Source organism: Homo sapiens, chromosome 18, assembly GCF_000001405.40.
Source record: "Homo sapiens chromosome 18, GRCh38.p14 Primary Assembly".
NCBI lineage: Eukaryota > Metazoa > Chordata > Mammalia > Primates > Hominidae > Homo > Homo sapiens.
The window spans coordinates 8,656,258-8,682,133 of NC_000018.10; the positions used below are offsets into that span (position 1 = coordinate 8,656,258).

Genomic DNA, 25,876 nt, shown 5'->3' on the forward strand with positions numbered 1-25,876 from the left:
GTGCCCTTGCACGCCCTTCTAACCCCCTGGATTAGGTTGCTGGGTTGTGAACTTGACAGAAATGAACCATACATGGAGCGCTCTTTCAGGTCGGCTTCTTTTGCTCAGCACGATGTTTGTGGGAGTCACCCGTGTTGTTGCAGGAAGCTGTAGTATGCTCAGCCTCCTTCCTTGGCAGCTGGGCTTCCCTAGACAGTCATTGGAAGAGAGTAGCAGATGCCAACACCATTGCTAGGAGCCATTCCAAGAATCAAAGGCTCAAGTTAAACTCAATCCAATGAATATGTGACTTTGTGTTTTACCGGACAACTGTTTGCAGCATCTTCCCATAGAGTGTTCCTTTAGATTGTGGTCTAAATGATTGATTGGCATAATAAGAATGATTCCTTTGGGAGGCCAAAGTGGGCAGATCACTTGGATCAGAAACTAGCTTGGCCAACATGGTGAAACCCCGTCTTTACTAAAAAAACAAAAAAATTAACTAGACATGGTGTCATGTGCCTGTAATCCCAGCTACTCTGGAGGCTGAGGCAGAAGGATCGCTTGGACCCGGGTGGCAGAGGTTGCAGTGAGCTGAGATCGTGCCACTGCACTCCAGCCTGGGTGACAGAGAGTCTCTCTCAAAAGGAAAAAAAAAAAAAGGAACGATTCATATATGGCTAATGATTTGATACCAAATGAGCCCAGACAGGCACTACACAGAACCTCGGCCTTGTTTTCACTGTTTTGGAAATAATAACATTGGTTCTGCTCACTTTCTGCTCGGATGAATTCACAGAGAAAGTTAACACTGGCCGTGGTCACTCAGAAGTTAGGGCTTTTCAGTTAGCCCCTGTGAGATCGTCAGGAAGGCTAGAGACTGTGTTGGTCGTGGCCCCTCTGACTCAAGTTATAATGTGTGTTCACACTCCTGGCAGGCTGTCCACACATCCTCCTAATCACTTCACAGTGAGGGCCCGGGGCAAGGTGGTGCCTCACCCCCACTGGCCCTCTGAAGGTCTCATCTCTGACGAGGTGGGCGACAGCAGGCACTTAGGAGCAGATTTCCTGAGAGCCAGGAGCACCTGCCGACTGGCCTAATCTACCAGTAAACTCTGCCTGCTCAGAACCGGCCTGACGCTTTTTTGCATTTTGTGCCTGGCATCACTTGTGACTACTACTTGAAACTGCCACTTAAATCCATTTTCCCATTACAGGAAAGGTCTGATTTCATAGGAAGAAACGCTTTAAATTCAAGGCAGAGCAAAATCTCTAGCCACCATCAGCACTGAATATAAAACTGTTGGTGTGTTCCTGGCTGCGGAGGGCAGCTGCTGCTATTCCATTTCTGACACAAGTCTGGTTTTGTCATCGCCAAGGTCACTCCCTGGCCCTCCCTGGTCACGCACTGCCCCAGGCTGCAGGCACAGGGGGCCTTTGTGGATGCTTTCATTTCTTTTCTCTCTCGGCTCCAAAGATCAGGTTGCTGCTTGCTTTCTTCCTTTACCTTTCCTCCTTGGCAAGATTTTAAATTCCACCAAGATATTGTTTTCTCACTGTCCCTTGCCTTCATCTGGTTGTTTTCTAGCATTTATGGTGACCTTTTCCTTTCTCCATTGTCATACAACTCTTCATCATCACCATTTACGGTTTTTTCCTTCGCCAGAAAAAAAAATGCTGTAAGGTCCTACATACACTTGAAGCTCCTTCCGGAACCCCCGAGCCCACCACACCCCCATGCAATAGCTTAGCTGCCTGCCAGGCCTTCCTGCTTTCTGGCCCAATCCTGCCCATCTCTGGAGGTTGCTGTGTTGCCATGGCAACTAGCAACCTGCCAAGTCAGCAAGCTCCGGGTGTGCTTGTCTGGCCTTGGGCATTGGTCCAGCAGCCGACCTCCCTTAGCACTGTATGAAACGACCCCCTTCGGTAGCGCCTTCATCGTCCTAGAAGGATCCTGCCAGCTCTCAGTTCTCACCCATCCTGACTCAGTTACACGTGGGGGTGAAGATCACCCCAGGTGAAGAGCAGCAGAAAGTTTTCTGTATTTTCTCTGCAGAGAAATCTGTCATCACTCTGTCCTCGAGTAGGTTTATTGGAACGTCAAGAATGAGATTGGGTGTGGTGGCTTATGCCTATAATCCCAGTAATTTGAGAGGCTGAGGTGGGAGGATCACTTGAGCCCAGGAATCTGAAACCAGCCTGGGCAACATAGTGAGACCCCGTCTCTACAAAAAAAAATGTTTTAATTAGCCAGGCATGGAGATGCACGCCTGTCATCCCAGCTGCTTGGGAGGCTAAGGCAGGAGGATCACTTGAGCCCAAAAGGTTGAGGCTACAGTGAGCCATGATTGTGCCATTGCTCTCTGGCCTGGGTGACAGAAGTGAGACCCTGTCTTTAAAAAAAAAAAAAAAAAAGAATGAATGTCTTTTGAGCTGAAATGATGGTCTTCGCGTCTTCATGAGGAATCTAGTTGGGGACAGGGACGAGAAAAGCTCTAAGAAATTTGGGGCAGGGAGGACCCACACAGATTTTATGACATTTGCAAGGGTAGTTTTTATTATGTTTTCAACATCTTGCCGTTCTTAAACTATAGGAGTAGCTGGTTGTCCTAGGGAAGGGTTTCTATGGCGCCACTGTGGCATTTCTCTCTCGAAAGCTTCTCCGTAAAGTAGCTTGAACACATCATGCACAGGCTCAATCATGTATAAACCACTTTGTAACAAAGGCTCTCGGGCAGAGTGGCCAGGAGAGAAGCGCCACAGAGAGGGGGCAGAGGGAGCGGTAGGAAGAGAGGTGCCGTCACAGCAGCACGTGGGTCCTGGATGACTCAGCCAGGGGTGGCCACCAGCCTGACCTCCCCAGAAAACCCCCTCACCCGATGAGACGGTCGTCTGGGGACCTGCAGATGATGAAGTTAAAAGGACTTATTCTTTGCCTCGTGTATCTTCACGACTCGTGGTGCTGATATCAATAACCACGCTCAGATGGAAACTCGGCTTCCTCCCAGGCCATCCACGACAGAAGTGGCAGCTGAAGACGGGCTGGCCCGAGAGGCAGCGCCCCGCGCAGAACGCCCGTGCCTGGGAAGAGGCCTGCACTCCAGCAGACTTCCATGTTCGCTGGAAGCCTCCCTTCCTGACTGTGAATTGGGACAATGCGCAGACTTCCATGTTCGTTGGAAGCCTCCCTTCCTGACTGTGAATTGGGACGATGCGCGGGATTTTCTGAAACCTCAGTTCCTCCGTCTGTAAGATGAGATTGTGGGGAGGAGGGCGGACCTGTAAGTGCCCAGCCACGAGGGCTGAGAGATTCGAACTCCTTTGCTGCCGCGAAGAAGGGCCTGTTCCCCGGAGGCCAGGTGGGCTCCAGGCCAAGCTCGCAGAGGGGCCAGGTGTGCTCTGGCGGTGAGAGGGCCGCGCGTCCCGGCACACACCCCGCCCATTTCAGCACCCTCTCCACCCTCCTCAGATGACCAGAGAAATCCAAGCAGGCCCTTGGCTTTCAAGATTCAGCTTCAGCCATGCATAAGTCCTTCACTGAAGTGGCAGAGGAAGGACGAGCGGCTTTGTTGGATTGGGGCTGGAGCCCCGTGCCCGGCTGTGGGTGCTCGTGGGAGAGCCTCGCCCGGCCCTGCGCTTCCCGAGAGTTCGCCGGGAGCACAAGCCCTGGAGAGCCCATGGGCAGAGCTCACCAGCCCCACCTCACAGAGAGGGAAACTCCGAAGTGGCCGTGGATTTGCCCAGGGTCACCCAGTGACAGACAGCTCAGACTCCTTTCCCAGCTCCGGCCACCGAAGCTTGCAGGCGCGTCCGTTCCAGCTCAGATAAGCACCTCCGCCACGCTTTCCTCACGCCTTCATCCGATCTGGTGTTTCCCGGCCTGAGGTTTGGTTTTAGCACGCAGCAAGCACTTCCGTTGAAGCGTTAATCGAGTTTTATTTTGACTAGCTCTTCCGTCTCTTCCAAAGATACCTCCTGATTTCTACCACCACACGCCAGTTTTGCAGTTGTTGAATATTATACAGGTGGACTCCCAAGGTATCCCATTGCTGGGCTTTTACAAAACACTCACTGGCTATGTTCCTATCGGCTCTGGTATCGGTGGCCTGTGAGCTACTCACTCACAGAGCTCAACCTTCCTGCAGGTACCAGTCAGGACTAACTTCTGGAAAGAGAAGCCTTAATTTAAAAACATAAAAAATAAATTTTAAAAAAAGCTTTCCTACCAAATTCCTGATTGGTAACTGTAGTAACAAATTCAGGTCGGCTTCCCTGACCTTGGCTTCTGACAGTCTGGGATTCGTCACAGCTTCCTGGATGAGTCTCTAGAATGTTTTAAAATATTTTTAATTTTCATGGGTACATAGAGTCTCTAGAATATTATGAGACGTGTATACAAAAAGTCCAAGCCTGGGCAAAATAGTGAGACCCTGTCTCTACAAAAAATAAAACAATTTAGTCAGGCTTGGTGACACAGGCCTATAGTCCCCACTACTCAGGAGGCTGAGGCAGGAGGATCGCTTGAGCCCAGGAGTTCAAGGCTACAGTGAGCTGTGATCACACTATTGCACTCAGTCTGGGTTGACACAGTAAGACCCTGTCTCTAACAAAAAGAAAACGAAAAATCCATATGTGATAATCCATGCCAAATAAAGTTAATCATGATCATTACAAAATGAAAGTAATTTCCGTGCTTTACAAAATGATTCACTATTAAGTTACTTTAAATAGTAAGCTCTCTTCCTATGTTTTAAAATAGATGATCTAAATGAATTGAACCAATTTTCAGGAATATATTCATACCTATATCAAGGCATACCTGATTGGACCCTATATAATTTTTGTTCATTTATTTATTTGTCCCTCGATTTGTCCAGCCTGCCTTATTGATCAGCCGCCCCGGAGGGGAGGGGACTTGGGAGTGAGGTCCTGTGGAGGAGGAGGGGGTGAGAATGGAAACTGTGGGTTGTCTATCTTAATGTGATTTTCCTGACTCAGTGGGCTGGCGAAGACTGCTTGGCATTTGAGACATAGCTACTTCTTGGTCTGTCTCCCAACTAGATTGTGAAGTGCTTGAGGACAGGGGACATTTCAGTCTGAATGTGTCTGCCAAGAAAAAGAGCAGGAGAGAGGAAGGAAGGAAGAGAAAAAGGGAGGGAGGGAGGGAAGAAGGAAGGGAAGGAAGGAAGAAAATTGTATATAATAGCCGTAATGTCTGTGTAGGTACATAAATGGATACATAGATACATTTAAACCACAGCCTTACAGTTATTCAAGTATTGCTACTTCTTTATAATCTGAGACAGAGAAAGAGCAGTCATTACTCTCTCATACAAGCTTCTTTTTCGTATTGTAACCTGAGAATTTAGCATTAATTGCTACAAAGGAAGCAAATAAAACTCACTTGTGAAAACACAAATTGCCCTGCTGCCTTTTGCTTTTTTTGCCTGTTGATATAAATTGAAAAATACACCAGGAACAATCAAACTTGCAGTCGATGGCATTGACTGGAAGAAGGATTAGGAAGTGAGAGAACAGGTTAAAATGTGGTCCACAATTCTCAGCGATGGCTGGAGATCAGGCTTCACCAGGGAGGAGGGTTAGCTCAAGGCTCAGGCTCGTTTAAATATTTTCCCCTTCCTCTCCTTCCTGTGAATTTAACCAGGAAAACAGCACAGTCTGTCACCTAGGTAACTGGCTCTCCTGCTGACTGGTGGAGATTGGAAACCGCACCCTTTCTCACTGCAAATTTGCATTCGCAGCTGGGCTTCGGGTGACCTCGCCAGAGGACAGAAAGCTAATCCAATCCTGCTGCTGAATGAGGGTGCCCGGTCCTACCTGGTCCACCTGACAGGCATCTGCCTCTGTAAGGAGTCTGTTTAAGGGTCCCGCGTGCCCATTGCTTTCCTTCAGAAGGAGGCTGGAAAATGCTTTTGATTTGAAAATGATGAAAATGAAAATGGTCCTTGGATTGTCACTTTGTGCAAAACCCTGTATTTCTAATTGGGAGAACATCGCTTCTCCCAACCATGTTCCCGAAGAGCCTGCAGGTTAGGCTGGCTGAGATGAGGACAAAGACCTTGGGTGCCCAGTTTAGTCATGTTAATTAAAATAAAAAATTGAAGTGGGGAGGCGTGAGGAGAATGTGCCTGGACAATAGGAACCCCAGGCCGTGGTCGTCAGCTCAGTGTTTGTTCACAGCCGCTCCTTTCTTTGCCCCATTGTGCTGTCAGCTCGGTGACTTCTGAGAGGGGCTGGGCGCCAGCTGTATGCAAAGTGCAGAGGCCCTGGGGCGGGTGCCTGGGGAGAGGGGCTGCCTGCATCACTTCTGTGTTACTCGTTTTCTCTTCTCCTCATGGAATAACAGCTAATTCACACCTTTATGTAATATCGGCGAACTCACACCTTCATGTGATAACGGCTAACTCACACCTTCATGTGATAATAACAGCTAACTCACGCCTTTAGTTGTAGGTGTTATTCTCAGGACTTCCGTGTCTAAAATGACTTCACCCTGACCATAATAACCTAGGAGATGGGCACTGTTCATGCTGATTTGAGAAAGGGGCAATCCCAGATGCAGGCAGCGGAAGTGATTTGTGCAGGCCTCATGGCCAGTAACTGACTCCTGACACCCTTGGCACCGGCCACCCCCCAACTCGCCCCTACATGCAGGTGGGTTCAGCTCAGCAGAAGAGGGCACTCAATGCCCTTGAGAGCAGGTGCGGGACCCAGGCTGCAACTGGCCTTGCTAACTTGTCCCTGGCGTCCTCACTCGCTGTCTGGCCTGGCAAGCCCGCGGTGAGCTCCCATCTGTCCCCTGTCATCTGCGAGCTGCGCTATGGAACTGATCTGAAGGGCCATCCGCCTCCCCCTCCACCCATGCTCCCCAACCTTGACTGCTCCCTTAGTGATCCCTGTAGGACAGGCGGAAGCCAAAGGAAAGGAAAAGAGAGGCTGCATGGGTACCTAGGAAAACGCCTAGTTAAGAGGCATTATCTGAGCTCCTTCCGAGTGCCAGTCCCAGCTTGGAATGGGGAGATGCACTGCCAGTGAGGTAGGCAGGGTCCCGGTCCTCCAGGCTGACCTGCTGACCCGCAGGGGACACAGACAGGAGGTGCAAGGGAGCAGCAGGGCCTGAGGGGATGCACATGTTGCCACAGGATCAAGAGTGAAGAAGCTGAGGTGAGGGCTGTGACTTCCCTAGGTGCTCAGAGAACGCTCCCGAGGCTGAGGCCTGCCCGCCAAGACATTAGGGGGAGGACAGCCTCAAGCAGACCTGGGGACAGGCCCCCAGCAGGGCTCAGGAGCAGAAACCGGCCAGATGCACCCAGCAAGCAGAGGACAGTGGCCAAGGGAGGTGAGTGGCTCACATGACTCGCAGGCCTTGGAGAGGGATCTGCACTTCATTCTAACTGCAATTTTTCACCCAAGAGAAAGGAAGGTAGCCTCGGGTTGGGAGGGACCCATTGTGCAATTTGTTGTAAGGTCAATACACACCTGAGGTGAGCAAAGACCCACTGTGAGTGATCGGAAGAGGGATCATATCCTTCCAATATCTGTGATCGATCCCATCCAACCCTCCCTTTTATGCATGGTGCCTGACGTGGATGCTGCTTCCTCAGATCTACATGTTCAGTACACAGCAGAGCCTAAACTGGAGGTCAGTCTGGTGAGGGTTCTGGTTTGCCCCAAAGAGATGTGGGGTGAATGAGAGAGTGATGGCATCAGGCTCATTTGCTGACCAGAACCCTGGGCTGACCTAGAGAACGGTAACGAAAGCACAGGATAGATGAAGAAGTGGGAGAAATGGGGCCGTGTGTGTGTGTGTGTGTGTGTGTGTGTGTGTGTGTGTGTGTGTGTGTTCTAATATAGGAATGTGCTTGCAATATTACAATATAATGGCAAGTGAAAAAGAAAGGAAACTAAAGAAAAGATAAGGATTTGGAAAGTTCAGTATTTTGACAAAGAGAGAGAACTAAAGACAGAAAAGAAGAAACTGTTCAACAAATAAAGAGATCAGGTTTTTATTTGTTTTTACTGTGAAAAGGAATCATTTGCTACCTACCTCAAAGATACTGAGCCCAAGTCCCTGCTCTGAAATTCAAGCACACTTGTCAAAAATCTAAAACAATTTTCATTCAGTAATAGACACTCAAGCCTTTGGTAAAGATAGGATATCTGGAATAAAGTCAGTTCCCCAACCTCACATAATACACATAAAGTAGGTCAAAATAGGTCCAACTAAAACTCTTAGAATAAAACTCAGGAGTAAATCTTCATGACTTTGGGTAATGTCTTCTTAAATATGGCATCAATTGCACAAAACAACAAAAGGAAAAAACAGATATAGTAGACTTCATCAAAATGATAAACTTTCGTCAGGAGTTCGAAACCAGCCTGGGCAACATAGCAAGACACTGTCTCTATAAAAAATTAAAAATTAAAAACTTTTGTGCTACAAACTATCAAGAAAGTGGGAAAACAATGCACAAAAAATGTTGTCTGTATCAAAATCTTTGCAAATCATGTCTCTGACAAGGACTTATATCCAGAATATATAAAGAATTCTTACAATTCAATAATGAAAACACAACCTAATTTTAAAAATGGGCAAATAATTTGAATAGACATTTATCCAAAGCAGGTATACCAATGGCCAAAGCACATGGAAAGATGCTCAACATCGCTAGTCATTAGGGAAATGCAAACCAAAACCAGAATGAAAGCCTTCTTAATACCCAAGAGGATGGCTATTATCAGAAACATACATACTACCAAGTGTTGGTGAGGATGTGGTGAAATTGGAACTCTCTTACACTGATGGTGGGAATATTGAAGGGTGCAGCCACTTTGGGAAAAAAAATCGGTAGTTCTTCTGTTACTGGTGGAGGGTCTTGACTGCAGGTTGTCCAGTTTCTAGGCATTTCGAACAAAGAATTGGACAAAATGCACAGCAAAGCAAGGAAAGAATGAAGCAACGAAAGCAGAGATTTACTGAAAATGAAAGTATACTCCATAGCGTGGGAGCGGCCCAAGCAGCAGCTCAAGGGCCCCGGATAGAGAATCTTCTTGGGTCCAAATACCCTCTAGAGGTTTCCCATTGGCCACTTGGTGTTCACCCCATGTAAATGAAGTGGTGGCCTGCAATCAGTCTGATTAGTTGCGGAAAGCAACCAATCAGAAGCTAAAGTGAAGTTACAAAGATGCACTCCTATGCAAATGAAGACTTGGCCTACAGTCAGAGGCTGAAGTTACAAAGCTACCTTCCTATGCAAACGTCTGGTTGCAGAAAGCAACCAATTAGAGGTACTTCCAATTTTCCATCTGCCTTGCAGAAAAGGTGGGGGTTTGCAAAGAGAGTAGCCTCTGGTCCTTTTGGTACTTGGGCATGGAAAGCTGGGATTTTTCTTTTGATTTAGTTCTAGGAAGTCAGGGTGAATCAGCCTTAGGTTTCCTGCCTCCAGATCCTATTCTCCCCCACTTCAAAAAGTTAAACATATTACCATAAGACCCAGCATATGACTCACCATATGACTCAGCCACTTCTACTCTCTTGGATATATATTCGATAGAAACAAAGACATATATCACATACACACTTGTACTTGGATGTTCAGAGCAGCATTATTCATAAAAGCCAAACCCAGAAACAATGCAAATGTCCATCAACAGATAAACGGAGAAGCAAAACGTGGTCTATACATACAATGAAATATTACTTGGCTGGGTGCCATGGCTCACGCCTGTAATCCCAGCACTTTGGGAGGCTGAGGCAGGTGGATCACCTGAGGTCAGGAGTTTGAGACCAGCCTGGCCAACATGGTGAAACCCCGTCTCTACTAAAAATACAAAAATCAGCTGGGCATGGTGGTGCATGCCTGTAATCCCAGCTACTCGGGAGGCTGAGGAAGAAGAATCACTTGAACTTGGGAGGTGGAGGTTGCAGTGAGCCGAGGTTGCACCACTGCACTCCAGCCTGGGTGACAGAGTGAGACTCTGTCTCAAAAAAAAAAAAAAGAAAAAAAAGAAATATTACTTTACACAGCTATAACACTACATCATGGATGAACCTTGAAGTGGTTCCAGTGGTTTCACTTATGCCAAGTGAAAGAAGCCAGTGAAAAAATACCATACACTGTGAGATTCCATTTATGTGGCGGGTCAGAAACTCCCCCATCTCTGCAAGTCCCCCGACCATCTCTGAAAGTGTGTTCATCTCAAACTTCATGCCCTGCACTCTAGGCTCTGGTCACACTGGGGTCCTCACTACTCCTCAAATATGTTACCATCCCATCTCCTATGTCCACACCTTTATTTCTCATGTTCCCTTGAGTGGCAGATTCCCACACATCCTTCAAAGGTCCTGGTCAGCCAGGAAGTCTACTGGTCTCACTCTATTCCCTGAGCACTTCTGCTTCTAAAATAACACACAAGCAGATGGAGAGAACGATCTACGTCACATTCAAGCAAAAGTCATCAGAAGAGTGTTTAGTCCTTTGCAGACATGCGTGCACACCGTGGGCAAAAAGGAGGGTCTCACAGGTGTGAGTGGACTTCACAGAGGTGGGGATGAAAGAGGTGGATGAGCAGATGGGGAATAGTAATGCTAGCTGATACTGTTTGCACACTCACTCTGCCCTATGCACTGTGTGTAAACTGTATTCGTTTAGTCTTGTCAACCTAAATAACAGACAGGGAGATGCTCTAAAAGAAAATGATTAATTGGGAATAGGCACTGTAATGGTAGTATGTGTGTCATAGTAAACTATGTGTGTATTCAGGGAGGTAAAGGAAGACTAAGATTTTTAAAGGGAAAATTAGGAGGATCATATCATTGTTGAGTCAGATAATTATCTGACTTGTAAGGATCAATTAACAAGGGTGGTGCTAATCCAAGGTTGAACAGGTAGTGGCTGGGCAGATGTCTTTGAAGAGGTAGTTTTTGTTTTTTGGGTGCAATAGTTTTGGGGTAAGACGTCGGGTGTTGTAGAACCTCTTGTGATAGTTCCTGTTATCAGACATTTATGCATGAGAACCTTCCTTTCATGGCCTTCCCCAGATCTGTTTGTCAAGGTTTCCAACACAAGTGACTCCTCTTTGAGTCTGACAACTTTCACACTTTCCCCTGTTGATCAAAATCTTTCTCCAAAAGCACTGCTGATCAATCGTTCTGTAGTTAGGTTGTTGTTGTTTGGAGATGAGGGTCTCGCTATGTTACTAAGGATGGCCTTAAACTCCTGGGTTCAAGTGATTCTCCTGTCTCAGCCTCCTGACGAGCTGAGACTACAGGCACATGCCACTGTGTCTGGATTGTGGTTAGATTTCGATTGTCCTTTGGTGCTGGGACAGACCTGTCCCAGTTCGGTCTGGTCTGGTCCCCGCTGGAAGGAAGTGTTTAGTAACCAGGAGTCAGCATCAAAACCCTTCTAGCCACATTTGAGCAACAAAAGAGGTTGGAGGGAGTGGATCTCATGCTAGGCCCACAGTGGACCCAGAGTCCACTGTGAAGCTCAATTTTGTCTGTTCTGTAGGTGTTAGCTTCATCTCAAAGTGTTGGGCCAGCATTACTCTGTTGTACTTATGCAGGAATTTAACAAGTAACAAGTACAAAGCTTAAAAAAGAAAATATGAAGTAAAATGATAATCTCAATTTGTATAATAGTTTTGAGCCATAAACCTAGGCTTAAAGACAACCAAATTGAATAAGTCAAATGACCACAGGGAATTAAGTGAGCTTTGTAGTAAACATGTAGTCCGTTTTCTTATTTTGTGTATGTGGGTCTCAACTTTCCCAGAGGAATTTATCCTGGTACAGCATGTAGCATTAGCAATAGTGCAGGCATTTCCTTACTTGACCAACACATACTGTAGAGCAATTTTATTTATTTAATTAATTTATTTATTTTTTAGACAGTTTCGCTCTTGGTGCCCAGGTCAGAGTGCAGTGGTGTGATATTGGCTCACTGCAACCTCAGCCTCCCGGGTTCAAGTGATTCTCCTGCCTCAGCCTCCCGAGTAGCTGGGATTACAGGCACGTACCCCCACGCCTGACTAATTTTTGTATTTTCAGTAAAGACAGGGTTTCACCATGTTGGCTAGGCTGGTCTGAAACTCCTGACCTCAGGTGATCCTCCCCGCTTGGCCTCCCAAAGTTCTGGGATTACAGGTATGAGCCACTGCACCTGGCCTATAGAGTAATTTTAGCATCTAGTATCCTATGGCTGGATTGAATTAAAGCAGAGTAAGCCAGTTGTATTAGGAATGTTGCCAAGTCACCCACTAGGCTGACTAAAGGATCTCTTAGGCCAGGTTCTGTCAAGTTACCAGCAGAAGATACCATTACCTTGCCAAGTGAGCAAGGTAGGCATTAAGAGTGGTAACAGTCTCATTATAATATGGAGTCATTAAGTTCAGGCATCTTGAGAAAAGCTGTTTGCAGTGTGAAGCTATCAACTTCTTGCCCTGGCTTGCAGTTTGAATATTTCTGGTTATGGCATCAGGCAGTTTGGTGAACTTTCTGTGTGATCCATACATCAGGCCCTAGACTTATTCATTAAAATTCATCTAATTTCAGTTTATAATGCTCCAGGAACAGAACAGTTCCTGTTTTTAGTAATTCCATGGAAAAAAGTTGGATTGGAGGAATCTAGAAGAATTCAGGGTTTAGTTTAGTCTATAGGTAAATAATGAGAACTCAGAAACAGTGTTCAGGGCTACAATCTAATTACAGGTGTACCATAGCTTTTATTTAGAAACATAATTTTTTCTTTCTACGTTGAACACAAAAGAATCTCAGACTTCAAATTTTAAAGGCTCTTGAGGCTAGAAAGCCGAACCAAGGTAGATTTCAGATTTTACATAGTCTTAAGATTCCTGGGCCTGCAAGGAAGTGACAATTTTTACTCACTTGCTGCAATGCTGGGAACCCTTGAAGCCAGGTATGTATGCTACGTACATTCTCGAATATAACATTCCAGTCAAAGCCTTGGTACTACAACCAATATTTCCAACTGTATCCTATTATAAAAAGAGAGCAAATTCTTACTGAATGTATGCAAATAACCATATTGCCATAAGAATACTCATAAATAGTTTCCAAATTCTGGTGAGATCAAGTAGGAAAAAAAGTAAATGCTTCTGTCTGTGTTCACAAAAGTATATTTTACCAGTTACTATAAATTATGGATAGCTTAAGAGAAAAAAATTATTAAATCTGGAAAACAAAACATTTAAGTAACAAGCCAACGTGTTAAACAGAGTCATAAAAACATTTTCTTCATCAGTTGTTTAATCTTATGTAATTATTTCTGTTCTGCTTGATTTCCTGAATGATCAAAAAATTTGATACAGGCCACACAGGAAATCATCTTAATAAGTCAGAAAATATTTTTTTCTTCGGAAAGTTACCAAGTAGGTAAAGAAAAACCTCCTGCAGTGTGATTGCTTCTTCTTATGGGGCACCTGTTTGGATAACCTAGAAGTCAAACCTGATTACAAAGATATGTGAATTTAGTCAGACACAGGAAGAATATATGTCCACAGGTTATGAGTGTATGCCACATTATAGACAAACGTAAACAAGAAAGCTAGCAGCTTGAGCAGGGGAATACAGGGCTCTTAATAAAAGCATGGGAAATTTTCTGGTTATATGGAACAATTCTGACACATCAAGAAAAGCCAAGAGTAAGACTCGGCCGGGCATTGTGGCTCATGCCTGTAACTTTGGGAGGATGAGGTGGGTGGATGATTTGAGGTCAGGAGTTCGAGACCAGCTTGGCCAACATGGTGAAACTCGTCTCTACTGAAAACACAAAAATTAGCCGGGCGTGGTGGCGGGTGCCTGTAGTCTCAGCTACTCAGGAGGCTGAGGCAGGAGAATTGCTTGAACCCAGGAGGTGGAGGTTGCAGTGAGCCAAGATCGTGCCACTGCACTCCAGCATGAGTGACAGAGCGAGACTCTGTCTCAAGAAAAAAAAAAAAAAAAAAAAAGCCTAGAGAAAGACAGTGCTCCAAACTGTAAAGCTACAGTTTGGAAGGTGGTTGAAAATTTATTTTAAAAAGCAGATTTCAGAATTAAATCAAAACCTTTTGCAAATTTTACTAAGAGCAGTTCAATAGTTCAAGAAAGCCTTATTGTTCTAGTATATGGAACCAAATTTTTATGTTTGTGTTACCGTATTCTTAATATCAAAGCCAATATTTAGAAAGGCTTATAAATGGCCAAGCACAGTGGCTCATGCCTGTTATCCTAGAATTTTGGGAGGCCGAGGCAGGCAGATCACTTTAGGTCATGAGTTCAAGACCAGCCTGGCCAACGTGGCTAAGCCCCTTCTCTACTAAAAATACAACAATTAGCTAGGCATGGTGGCACATGCCTGTAGTCCCAGCTATTCGGGAGGCTGAAGTGGGAGAATCACTTGAGCCTGGGAGGTGGGGGTTGCAGCGAGCTGAGATTGTGCCATTATACTCCAGCCTAGGTGACAGAGTGAGAGCCTGTCTCAAAAAAAAAAAAAAAAAAAAAAAAAGAAAGAAAAGAAAAAAGAAAGGCTTATAAGCAATTTCCTTCTAACTGTAGCCAACTTGATCACATGCAAAAATTTCTCTCATAAATTCATCCTACACAGACCTTTTATAAACGAGTCTTCTTATTTAACAGACCTTCCACAACATGCTTAGAATTTTAGTTTTGTCCTATACTTCCTCCTTCTTAAATAACTAACCATTTTACTTTAGGACAAAAATTTACCATATAATATTCTTTATCATACACAGTTATTCTCTGTCTAATATTCTTTACCAATAATATATCTTTATACCTATAACTTTCTTCACATCCCTCTCCTACTTTCTATCTTGTTTCTATTGTATTTTCTTCCTAAGTGCATATTTTGAAACAACCTTTAATAACTTCTTAATTTAGACAAAATTATTCCTTTTTCTCAATAAAGAACATATATTATGCTTTCCTTATCATTTTTATCATCAAAAACATTTTTGTACACTTTGTATACAGAATCATATATATTAATTAGAATTTTTAACTGGTAAGTAACACTAATTTCCAATGAAAACCAAGGAAGCAAGAAATGTTAGACTGTCACGTATTTTATAGATATGAACCATTTTGTAATTTTAGAAACATGTTTCCCCAAAATATAGTTGTTATGTATATTAATAGAACGAAATATATTTAGTCTTTTTTATGAAATTCTAAAAGTCAAGAAGAAACATTTATGGGCAGCAACTTATGCTTCTGTGTTTTATCTTGTTTGGAAATGACTCAGATATTTAATGAGTATCATTTAATTTAACATAACATAACTTTTAAGGTTTTAAGTGACATGAAAAGTCCATTTATAAATGTTTATCCCATTTACATTTACCTAAGTTATTTGTTTTTAACAATTCTACCTAGATTACTTATGAAAACGGAGATATTAGACAAAGCTAATCATCATTTCGAGATATTTCTCTGTTAACCATCTTTATAGCCTGGGAATACCAGGTGTTCACCTAAGAAAAAACCTGGAAGTGAAATATATGGATATTTTTTCAAAAACTCAGGAGATACAGCTGTTTTTATGAAATGAGTAATATTTAATTGGTCTTATTTATCAAAGAATTACACAAAAATCGTCCTGTTTTTAGGCTGGGTTTATAGTTTTGTGACCTTTAAACATGTAGCAGAGACAAATATAGTCCTGCCTGACCAGTAAAATCAGGCAAAAACGTATGCTGACAATTCTGAAAACATTCTATTTTCGTCTTATCAACAAATTTATAACTAGCTCAAAGATTTACCTAAGTCAAGTGAACTAAAAGTCATTTCGGTTAATTACTATATATTGTATATGAGTGCTCATTTAAGCTAATCGGAGTAGAATTCCTTAAGGGATTTCTGGCTGACTACGCCAGATTTTGCCAAGTAAACACATGTGTAAACACACTCACACACACACATATAAGTAAAGATCTTTTAGCTTTAATTTTAGAATTTTTGTCATGAGACAGTAAAACTTAATAATACAAATACATCATTTATAAAAGACAGTCAGATCTAAATTATATTTCTGACAAAGTGGGACTGTCCACATGGCTAAATTTTATTTTTCCTGATAAGTAGTCTAACAAAGGCTGTGGACCAAAATTTTGGATTTTTTATTAAAAAATACCTCTTTTATCCTTTTTTTCCAGCTCCAAGTGAGTTTAGGGTTAAATATTTAAATGTTTATATTTCAGCTATGACTAGCCGAATTATATACAAAAAACAAAATCTCCAACTGGCCTTGAATTAAGCTATCTTTTGTTTCTAGTCTGGTTTGCTTGACTAGTCAATGTAGGTGGAGAAACAGTCGCCATGTAGTCCCTATATGGCAGACAAAGCAATTTGTATGCCGGACAAAGATAGCTTATGTGATTGCTCTGAACTCAAGATTTTGACCCATTTGATCTAAGACAGCCCAACTTTTATAAACATGTATCTAGTTATTTTATTTTAGAGTATCAATCCTTCAATTAACTATTCACTCTAAGCAATTGTGAGTCAGGCAAACCTAAATTAACATTTCCAAAAGGTATCTAGTTTGTTGGTTACCATACAGCTGTTGTAACTTGTAAAGCCGTTAATTTGAAAGCCCTTTAAGACATTAAAAAAGAATTTTGCCTGGAATGCCATAAGCAGTGAAATTATCTCAACACCAGCAAAAAAGTCAGCAGATTCGAAGTAGGCAGAAAAAAATAGAGAGAGATAGAGAACTTAGAAGCTCTACATGTTGACTCTATAGTCGGTTGTAGTTTTAAAATTCAGTTCTAAGGGAAAAACAAGCTTGGGGAGCTTGAATGAGCCCCACGATGGTCACTGACTTAAAAACATGCACAAGGGAAGCCTTGTAGCCAGCTGGAGTCCTAGAAAGTTGGCATTCCTTAATGTTTGAGGAACCCATTTCATTTATTATTAATCTCTTGAGAGAAAAGAAAATCCTATCAAGGAGTTTGGATCAGTATCTTAGATGGCAGCAACCACCCTAGTGGCTTTTAATTAACCATCTCATGCCCACCATTTAAAATGTTTATTTTTGAGCCAAGCATGGTAGGCCACAACTATAGCCCCAGCAACTGGAAAGGCTGAGGCAGGAAGATCACTTGAGCCCAGGAGTCCAAGTCCAGCCTGGGTGACATAGCAAGACCATGTCTCAAAAATAAATAAATATATACATAAGAAAGAATGTTTATTTTTGTTCTCAGAAGATGTTCAGAAACAAGCAAGGGAAAAAAAGAGTCAATTCGTTTCTGGACATGTGTAACCCAAACCAACAAAACCAAAATGAAACCAAAATCAGAGTGCTCACACAAATTTTAGCCCAGCTGTGCAGATGAAACCAAGTATTAAACTAGGTACACAGAACCAGAAGTGAAGTCACCCCGAAAGACACGCCTCACAGACAGAATGTAAATTCTGTAGAAAGCAGAGTACTTAAACCAGACAGACGTTGCCCTTATACCAGAAAGGACTCGCCAACGAACAAACAAAAACAAAAACAACCTTTTATAGTCCCAAGACGGACCCAAGGTTCTTTATGAAAGGAGGCCTTATAATAAGATCGGATCCTGAATGAGGTCAAAAGGAACCCATCAAACAGAAGTAGTCCAAGAATCCAAGAGGAGATTCACCAGGACAGAAAGAGCAACTCACGAAAGTGGAGAGCACAAAGGGCTCAGCTGGTACCACATTCAATTCCAGGGCTGCTGATTCACCCTAGGTGAGCTCACTTCTGTCCTACTTCTGACACCATTATGTCAACATAAATAACAAACAGAGAGAGAAGCTGGCTAAAAGAAAGTGGTGTTTATTTGGGAATAGGCATTGTGATGAGAATATGCATGTCTTGGGTAAACTATGTGTGGATTCAGGGAGGTGAAGAAAGACAAATGTTTTTAAAGGGAAAATGAGGATTACATAATTGTTTTGAGATGATTTTCCTTGGCTATAAGGACCAATAACCAGGGTAGTGCCAGTCCAAGTTTGAACAGGCAGTTCCTGGGCAGATGTCCTCACAGAATAATTTTTTTTTTGGTAAGGTTGCGATGACCTTTGTGCAAGGTTGTGGGTTTTGCAGAGTCTTTTGTGATAGTTTTTGTTATCAGGACTTTTAGGCATGAAAATCCTTCCTCCGTGGCCTTCCCTGGCTCTATTTGCCAGGATTTTTAATACAAGTGACTCCATATTGATTCTGACAATTTTCACAGTTTTCACAGCCCTTTTGGGATTAAATGCACTGATATTCATCGTGTCTACCTCTTGTCCTGATCCTGAATGCTATATAATTGTTTGTCAAATCAAATACACACGTAAAATGGAAATAGATAGATACCATTATTATCCTCATTTTACAATGGAAGAACTCAGGCACTGAGGCACAGAGAGGGTTAATAAGTTGCCCAAAAGGTCACACTAGTAAGAGACAGAAGCAAGTAGCATAGTGCAATCTTATGCTAAGAAAGTGGAAGAAAAGAAAGAAAATAAGAAAGAACCTAGTTATTATAGTTAACAATATGGTGTTGTGCACTCAAAAACTTCTTGAGAGAGGTAGATCTCATGCTAAGTATTCTCACCAAAAGAAATAGGAAGGAAGAAAGAAGAAAAGAATAAAGGAGAAAAGAAAGAAAAGCAAGAAGACACAAGAAATTTTGGAGGGGCTGGATATATCTATTACCTTATTTGTGGTGATGGTATCATGGGCCTATGTATTTAAAATGTAAGCACAATTTAAAACAATATTTTCAAGCTATATAGTAGCCAGTCAAATCACTTATGTTAGAATTTAAGGGGAAAAGCAGAAAGCTTAATTAACATAATGTGATAATTACAAATTTGGGAAAAAAGTGAGTCAAATGAATAGAGAAATATTGAAGGTGACTGTGGTTAACAGTCATGTTTCTTTTGGCAGATTTTTAGTTTCTTTAGTTATTTAAAATTATATGGAGTAATGTATATTCTAAAAGTTGCTTTTTGTTGAGTATGCATTATTTTAATGACAAAGAAAACAAACACTAAGGTTTTGTTTTTGTTTTTGTTTTTGTTTTGTTTTGTTTTTTTGAGAAGAAGTCTTGCTCTGTTACCCAGGCTGGAGTGCAGCGGCATAATTTCGGCTCACTGCAACCTCCGCCCCCAGGTTCAAGTGATTCTCCTGATTCAGCCTCCGAGTAGCTGGGATTACAGGCACCTGCCACCATGCCTGGCTAATTTTTGTATTTTTAGTAGAGACAGGGTTTTGCTATATTGGCCAGGCTGGTCTTGAACTCCTGACCTCAAGTGATCCACCACCTCAGGCTCCCAAAGTGCTGGGATTACAGGCATGAGCCACCGCGCCTGGGGCAACACTAAGGATTTAGTGTTTTAAAGAGAAGAAATTAAATCAGCCAGTGCGAGGGTGAGGACCTCATTTTTGTCTCTCGCTGCTGGCTAGCGGGGAGTATAGATGGAATGTGGAGAGGGCCTACTTGATCCAAGTACTCTGAACTTAACAGGGCACTGCAGAGCAGTCTTTTCTAAGTTTTGCAGAAATGTCTTCCACCTCCTTATACTTTTTCACATAAAGATGGCACTCCTATACATTTGGAGAAAACATTTTTTACATTGTTTGCCTGTCTGTAGCTCTTGGCCTATACAACATTCCCTGAGCATCAGAAGAGTTACCAGAGAAAACTTAAAATACGCCAACATTTGGCCCCTGTCCCAAGACACTGATTTAATCTGATGGAGTGGGGGCCAGGCATCTGTATTCTGGGTGATTCTAACGGGCAGCCAGGGCGCGGGACCCATGGGACTCTGCACCACCTGACCTTCCCGCTGGCTCAGGAGTTCCAGCCAATTCTATTTTTCCCCTGGAAATGTGGAAATTGGGGGATGATAGTTCCTTCTTGGAAATGTGGAGATGGGAGAGACTGAGCCAGTGGCTGGAGGGTGGGTAGCCACGACTGATTTGTATGAGTTGGCATCATAGGCAATAGCAGCTATGCGAGCAGAGCAGAGGCTCCTGGGCAAAGGCGGAGGGGCAGTGAGATGCTGCCAGGGAGTGAGCTCAGCTCAGACGCCCTCCAACCCCTTGGAACAACAGCATGCAGGAGCCGACCCTCCGCTCCTTGAAATGAGGCTAACTCTTTCAAATTCAGAAGTTAGGGCTTTCCTCCATTGAAAATAAGGGGGAGATTAAAAAGCAGGAAACAGCCCTGGAAGACCCCTCGAGAGGAATCGGCTCAGGTCTGTGCCTCATGACAGAGTCCTTAATCTGGGGTCTGAGCTTCTGGGTCTCTATGGTTGCTCGGGTAGAGTTCTATGGGCATTTGTACATACGTGCATTTTATAGAGGAGAAAGTCTATATGTTTTATTCTGAAAAGGGCCCATGAACCTTATAATTAAAAACAACTGCTCTATGAGAACAGAAAATTTTAAGAACGTCTCTCCTTCTAAACCTATGTAGGAATTTAAATGTTTTAGAAAACAAATACTGCGTTAATATTACAGAGAAAGGCAGAGAGAGAGATCATCAGTACGTTCAGTGCAAATTCTAAACGTATGTATATTTTGTGTGTATGTGTGTATTTATTGGAACTGAGGCTGGTTTTACAATATATCTAGGAGAATAATTCCATATGTTGGAGGATAGTAACTCTCATATAATTTGATGGGAGTAGATTGTGGTACAGCCATCATTTTGGGAAACTTCTTTTGTATTATCTACTAAAATTATAGCTAATAGAACTGCATGCACACGTGAATCAGCATTTTTTTATTTTTATTTTTTGAGATGGAGTCTCACTCTGTCACCCAGGCTAGAGTACAATGGCGTGATCTTGGCTCACTGCAACCTCTGCCTCCTGGGTTCAAGTGATTCTCCTGTCTCAGCCTCCTAAGTTGCTGGGACTACAGGCGTGCACCACAGTGCCCAGCTAATTTTTGTATTTTTAGTAGAGATAGGGTTTCGCCATGTTGGTCAGGCTGGTCTCGAACTCCAGACTTCAGGTGATCCAACCGCCTTGGCATCCCAAAGTGCTGGGATTAGAGGCGTGAGCCACCATGCCCAGCCCCACAGTAGCATTTTTAAATTGACAAGTAATAGTTGTCTATATTTATTGGGGCAGCATTATTAATAGCCCCCAAATGCAAGCAATTGAACAGTGGAATGGATAAATTGTGGCAGTTGCAATGGAACTCTATACAGCAATGAAAAAGAATGAAATAGAGCTATATAAAACAATATGTGTGTATGAAACTCATAAACGTAATACTGAGCAAAAGAAACAAGACACAAAAGAAAAAAACTAAACTATTTTATTTCTGTAACGCTCAAGACAGGCAAACCTAACCTATGGCGCTGGAGGTCAGGAGAGTGGCCACTCTAGCAGAGGCACAAGGAGGCTTCTGGGGTGCTAGTGATGTTCTATTGCTTGGTGATACTTGGGTGTGTGCCCTTTGTGGTAATTCATCAAGTTGTACACTTACAGCTTATATACTTTTAGTTCTCAATATTATGCACTTTAAAAATGTTATGCTTATTATCTGCAAACACATGCATACTGCATTACATTTAAATAATGAAGGACTTATATGCACAATATATAAGGAATTGCCACAGATATAAAATGTAGAAAACTGGCAAAATAAGCAAAAAGGGGTTTCACAAAAGAGTGATGAGCAGTCAAGCGGGTCCCAAACCGCAGCAGTGGGAGCTGCCAGGCTGACTTGCTACCTTTCCATAGATTTGGCCTGTAAGACAACCATGATCCGTATGGATGCAGACAACTTATTTCAAATTAGTTCCTTTTCCTCCCAATCCCACGGGGGCTCTGTGGAGGCAGGCGTCGGGGAGGCTGCACAGACAGGGGATCAGTGCACAGCTGAGGACCCCTGAGCCTAGGAGACCACCAGTCTCAGAAGGGGCTGCTGGCGGCCTAGTGACTCTCCTCTCCAGAGACATTGTCATTGTCACCCTGGAGTGCAAGCAAGTCTCTAGGGATAATTTTTGCTGTCTCTTTTTAATTTAAAAATAAATTATGAGCTGGGCATGGTGGCTCACGCCTGTAATCCCAGGACTTTGAGAGGCCGAGGCTGGCGGATCACTTGAGGTCAGGAGTTTGAGACCAGCCTGGCCAACATGGCGAAACCCCGTCTCTACTAAAAATACAAAAAATTAGCTGGGCGTGGAGGTGGGCGCCTGCAGTCCCAGCTAGTCAGAAGACTGAGGCAGGAGAATCGCTTGAACCTGGGAGGCAGAAGTTGCAGTGAGCTGAGATTGCACTACTGTACTCTAGCCTGGGCAACAGAGCAAGACTCCGTCTCTAAATAAATATAAAATAAAATAAATTATGAATTTTTGTCTTTTTTTCATATACTCAGACTAAATAAAGGCATTTTTACTGGTGCATTCCTCAACTGACTTTTCTTCTATGTGTTTGTAATCTGTAGTAGAAAAGATAACCCTGCTCACACTGTTCTTTCATTTCTGAGCTAAGGAAATTTGTAATGCTGCACATTTTCACTTGTTAATTAACTGTCTCATCTTTGGGTGGTTACATTTTAATCCAGGTGTTAGTGATAAAGTTCCCAACTTTAATAAGGTTAAGAGAGTACACTTTCCCCCTTATAAATGATAAATATCTTACCAGGTCCTCCAGCTAATATTAGAGTGTGAAATGTTTCCTTAAATTGATGGTTGACCAAACTTCATTTAGTTAGGAAAAGAATTGACTTATGAAATTTTTTAGTCCTTCATTTGCACAACTGCCATTTTCTTTTTATAAAATTTAAGCAGAAATTTACAAAAAGTATCTCAATTCTGGAGGCCACACGTCTAGTTTTCATCCCTCCTTGAAATTTTCACCTGGAGTTACATGCCCTTAAGTGGCACAGTCCGTGGGGCTTGACAGTGAATGCTTTACTTCTTCTTTAGGAATTTCCCAATGCTTAGAAGAGAGAACTCCTTAAAGTAAGACTTAACTTGTTTTTGTAAATAAATGAGAGATAGCAAGGTGCAGTGACAAGAAAATTGCACAGAGGCCAGGCAACTTGCAGTGAGGATTTTGAAATATTAAACCTATCGAAGGGGCACTTAATGATGAACAAAATCTTTTTATATTTTTTTCTATAATTGAATGAGAGTGTTTGTAAATCATTGAAAGGTGAGTTTACCTATGAGATTTGTTTCTCTCTCTCTCTCTTTTTTCCCTAGAGACAGGGTCTCACTCTATTACCCAGGCTGGAGTGCAGTGGCACAATTAGGGCTCACCGCAGCCTCCAACCCCTGGTCTCAAGCAATCCTCCTGCCTCAGCCTCCTGAGTAGCTGGGACCATACGCATGCCACCATGCCTGGCTATTTTTTTTATTTTTTGTAGTGATGAGGTCTTGCTATGTCTTTGCCCAGGCTGGTCTTGAACTCCTGAGCTCACGTGATCCTCCCACCCTGACTTCCCAAAGCGCTGTGATTACAGGTGAGAACTGTCGCATCCCGCCATGTTCTGTATTAAGATATCTGACTTGAGACTTCTGCTCACCCTCTCCAGAGACTCACAGAGCCAAATCTTAGCAGGGTGAAAGGGACTCAGGAAGGGGGCAGGGAGTGAAGTAGGAGTTGGGGAGCGAAGGCCAATTTAGCTGCTACCTTCTCTCTGTCTAAACCAGTGGTTCTCAAGGACAGTTCCTGGACCAGCATCTGAGATCTTGTTAGAAATGCGAGTTCTTCCTGGACCTGCTAAAGCAGAAACTCCGGCAATGGCCTCCTGCAATCTGGGTTTAGACAAACCCTCGGGGTGATTCTGATGCATATGAAAGTCTGAGAACCATTGCCCCATATTTCCAACATCAAAATTATTTTTAAGTTCAGAAGACTCTATGAATAGCTTCAGATGACAATTCAGAGCAGAAAAACAAAATATAATAGAGAATAATGCTGGATAAAGTATTTTCTTCCCAAAATATAAGAGAATTGATAAATAAGGAGAGGAGGTTACAGGAAGTGCACACATGTTTAACTCTAACTAGTGGTAAAATATTCTTTTCCATAATATGGTCAAACAATTTGAAAAACTATAGTTAATCTGAAAGAGAAAGTACAACTTTTTAGTTAGAACTTTTCTCTTTGAAGTTTCCTTGTCTAAATTCTTTTGGGATCACTGGTGAAAATGTAGGAAACTACCAAAGAAGTATAAACACAGTGAAATTTATCTTCAGGATTTTCTTTCTTCCTGACATGAACATGATTAAAAACAGTAGTCAGAATTCCCAAAGGAGATGTTTCAATATGTTCCTTCTTACAGCACCTAATTAATCAATGGCTGACCTGATATATAGCAAATAATAGTAGCGTACTCATAGCTAAAAAAACACTGAGGAAGGGCTGGGGCAGTAGCTCACGCCTGTAATCCCAGCACTTTGGGAGGCTGAGGCAGGTGGCTCACCTGAGGTCGGGAGATCGAGACCAGCCTGGCCAACATGGTGAAACCCCGTTTCTACAAAAAATACAAAAATTAGCTGAGCGTGGTGGTGGGTGCCTTTAATCCCAGCTACTTGGGAGGCAGAGGCAGGAGAATCGTTTCAGCTTGGGAGGCGGAGGTAGCTGTGAGCCGAGATCACGCCACTGCACTCCCGCCTGGGCAACAGAGCGAGACTCCATCTCAACAAAAACCCCAAAAAACAAAAAAACAAAAAACTGAGGAAGAAGTTTTTTGTTTGTTTGTTTGCTTGCTTTTGAGATGGGGTCTCACTCTGTTACCCAGGCTAGAGTGCAGTGGCATGATCATAGCTCCCTGCAGGCTCAACCTCCAGGGCTCAAGTGATCTTCCCACCTCAGTCCCCCACATAGCTGAGACTACAAGCATGTGCTTCCACACTCAGCTAATTTTTAATTTTTTTGTAAAGACAGGGATCTCTCTATGTTACCCAGGCTGGTCTCCAACTCCTGGGTTCAAACAATCCTCCTGCCTCGGCCTCCCAAAGTGCTGGGATTAGAGATGTGAACCACTGTGCCTGTATTTTCTTTTGTTAACTTTGGGAAATAACAAATGCTAAACCAATGTATGGCTTAGTGTACTCTAGGTAGAAATGTAAGTGCTTTGAAATGAAAGTAAAACCGGTAGCTTCTCCCCATAGAGACTGGCCCCTGCCACAGTGAAGTCAAGGGTGCTCGTGAACTTTGCAGGCGCCCTGAAACCCTGGTTGACACTGTCTTATTGCAGACTCAAAGTGAGGGGCCACAAGTCCATGCAGAAGGTGACCTTTGATTGTGGCACCCAGTTCCTATCTTGTCTTTCAGCATAACTTTGTGTTGAGTCAAAAATGCAGCCAACAAAAATGCAAATTCTATTGACAGAAAGTCCTAGAAATGTTGATAAAATTAAAATTTAAAAACAAATAGGCCAGGCACAGTGGCCTGTAAACCCAGCACTTTGGGAGGCCAAAGTGGGAGGATTGCTTAAGGCCAGGAGTTTGAGACCAGCCTAGGCCACATAGGAAGATTGCATCTCTACAAAAAATATAAAAATTAGCTGGGTTTGGTGGTGTGCGCCTGTAGTCCTAGCTACTAAGGCGACTGAGGCAGGAGGATTGGCTGAATCCAGGAGTTTGAAGTTACAGGGAGCTGTGATCTACACTCCAGCCTGGACTACAGAGTAAGCCCCAGTCTCTTAAAAAAAAAAAAAAGTCAGGGCGCAGTGGCTCATGCCTGTAATCCCAGCATTTTGGGAGGCTGAGGCAGGGTGGATCACCTAAGGTTAGGAGTTCGAGACAAGCCTGATCAACATGGTGAAACCCTCTCTACTAAAAATACAAAAATTAGTTGGGCGTGGTGGCGGGGGCCTGTAATTCCAGCTATTCAGGAGGCTGAGGCAGGATAATCGCT

At 43.2% G+C, this 25,876-nt stretch overlaps 4 annotated features.

The window, feature by feature from the left end:
* Window positions 1,626–2,125: an enhancer, noted in NCBI's record as "H3K4me1 hESC enhancer chr18:8657881-8658380 (GRCh37/hg19 assembly coordinates)". NCBI's record gives its function as "activates a minimal SCP1, AML or CMV promoter by ChIP-STARR-seq in primed H9 embryonic stem cells {active_cell/tissue: H9 hESC(primed)}" and the evidence as "EXISTENCE:reporter gene assay evidence [ECO:0000049][PMID:30033119]".
* Window positions 3,440–4,039: an enhancer, noted in NCBI's record as "H3K4me1 hESC enhancer chr18:8659695-8660294 (GRCh37/hg19 assembly coordinates)". NCBI's record gives its function as "activates a minimal SCP1, AML or CMV promoter by ChIP-STARR-seq in primed H9 embryonic stem cells {active_cell/tissue: H9 hESC(primed)}" and the evidence as "EXISTENCE:reporter gene assay evidence [ECO:0000049][PMID:30033119]".
* Window positions 3,722–3,893: a silencer, noted in NCBI's record as "fragment chr18:8659977-8660148 (GRCh37/hg19 assembly coordinates)". NCBI's record gives its function as "represses an EF-1alpha promoter that drives an FKBP-Casp9 reporter gene in an ReSE screen in phorbol 12-myristate 13-acetate-treated (for megakaryocytic differentiation) K562 erythroleukemia cells {active_cell/tissue: K562(+PMA)}" and the evidence as "EXISTENCE:reporter gene assay evidence [ECO:0000049][PMID:32094911]".
* Window positions 6,010–6,594: an enhancer, noted in NCBI's record as "OCT4-NANOG-H3K27ac-H3K4me1 hESC enhancer chr18:8662265-8662849 (GRCh37/hg19 assembly coordinates)". NCBI's record gives its function as "activates a minimal SCP1, AML or CMV promoter by ChIP-STARR-seq in naive H9 embryonic stem cells {active_cell/tissue: H9 hESC(naive)}" and the evidence as "EXISTENCE:reporter gene assay evidence [ECO:0000049][PMID:30033119]".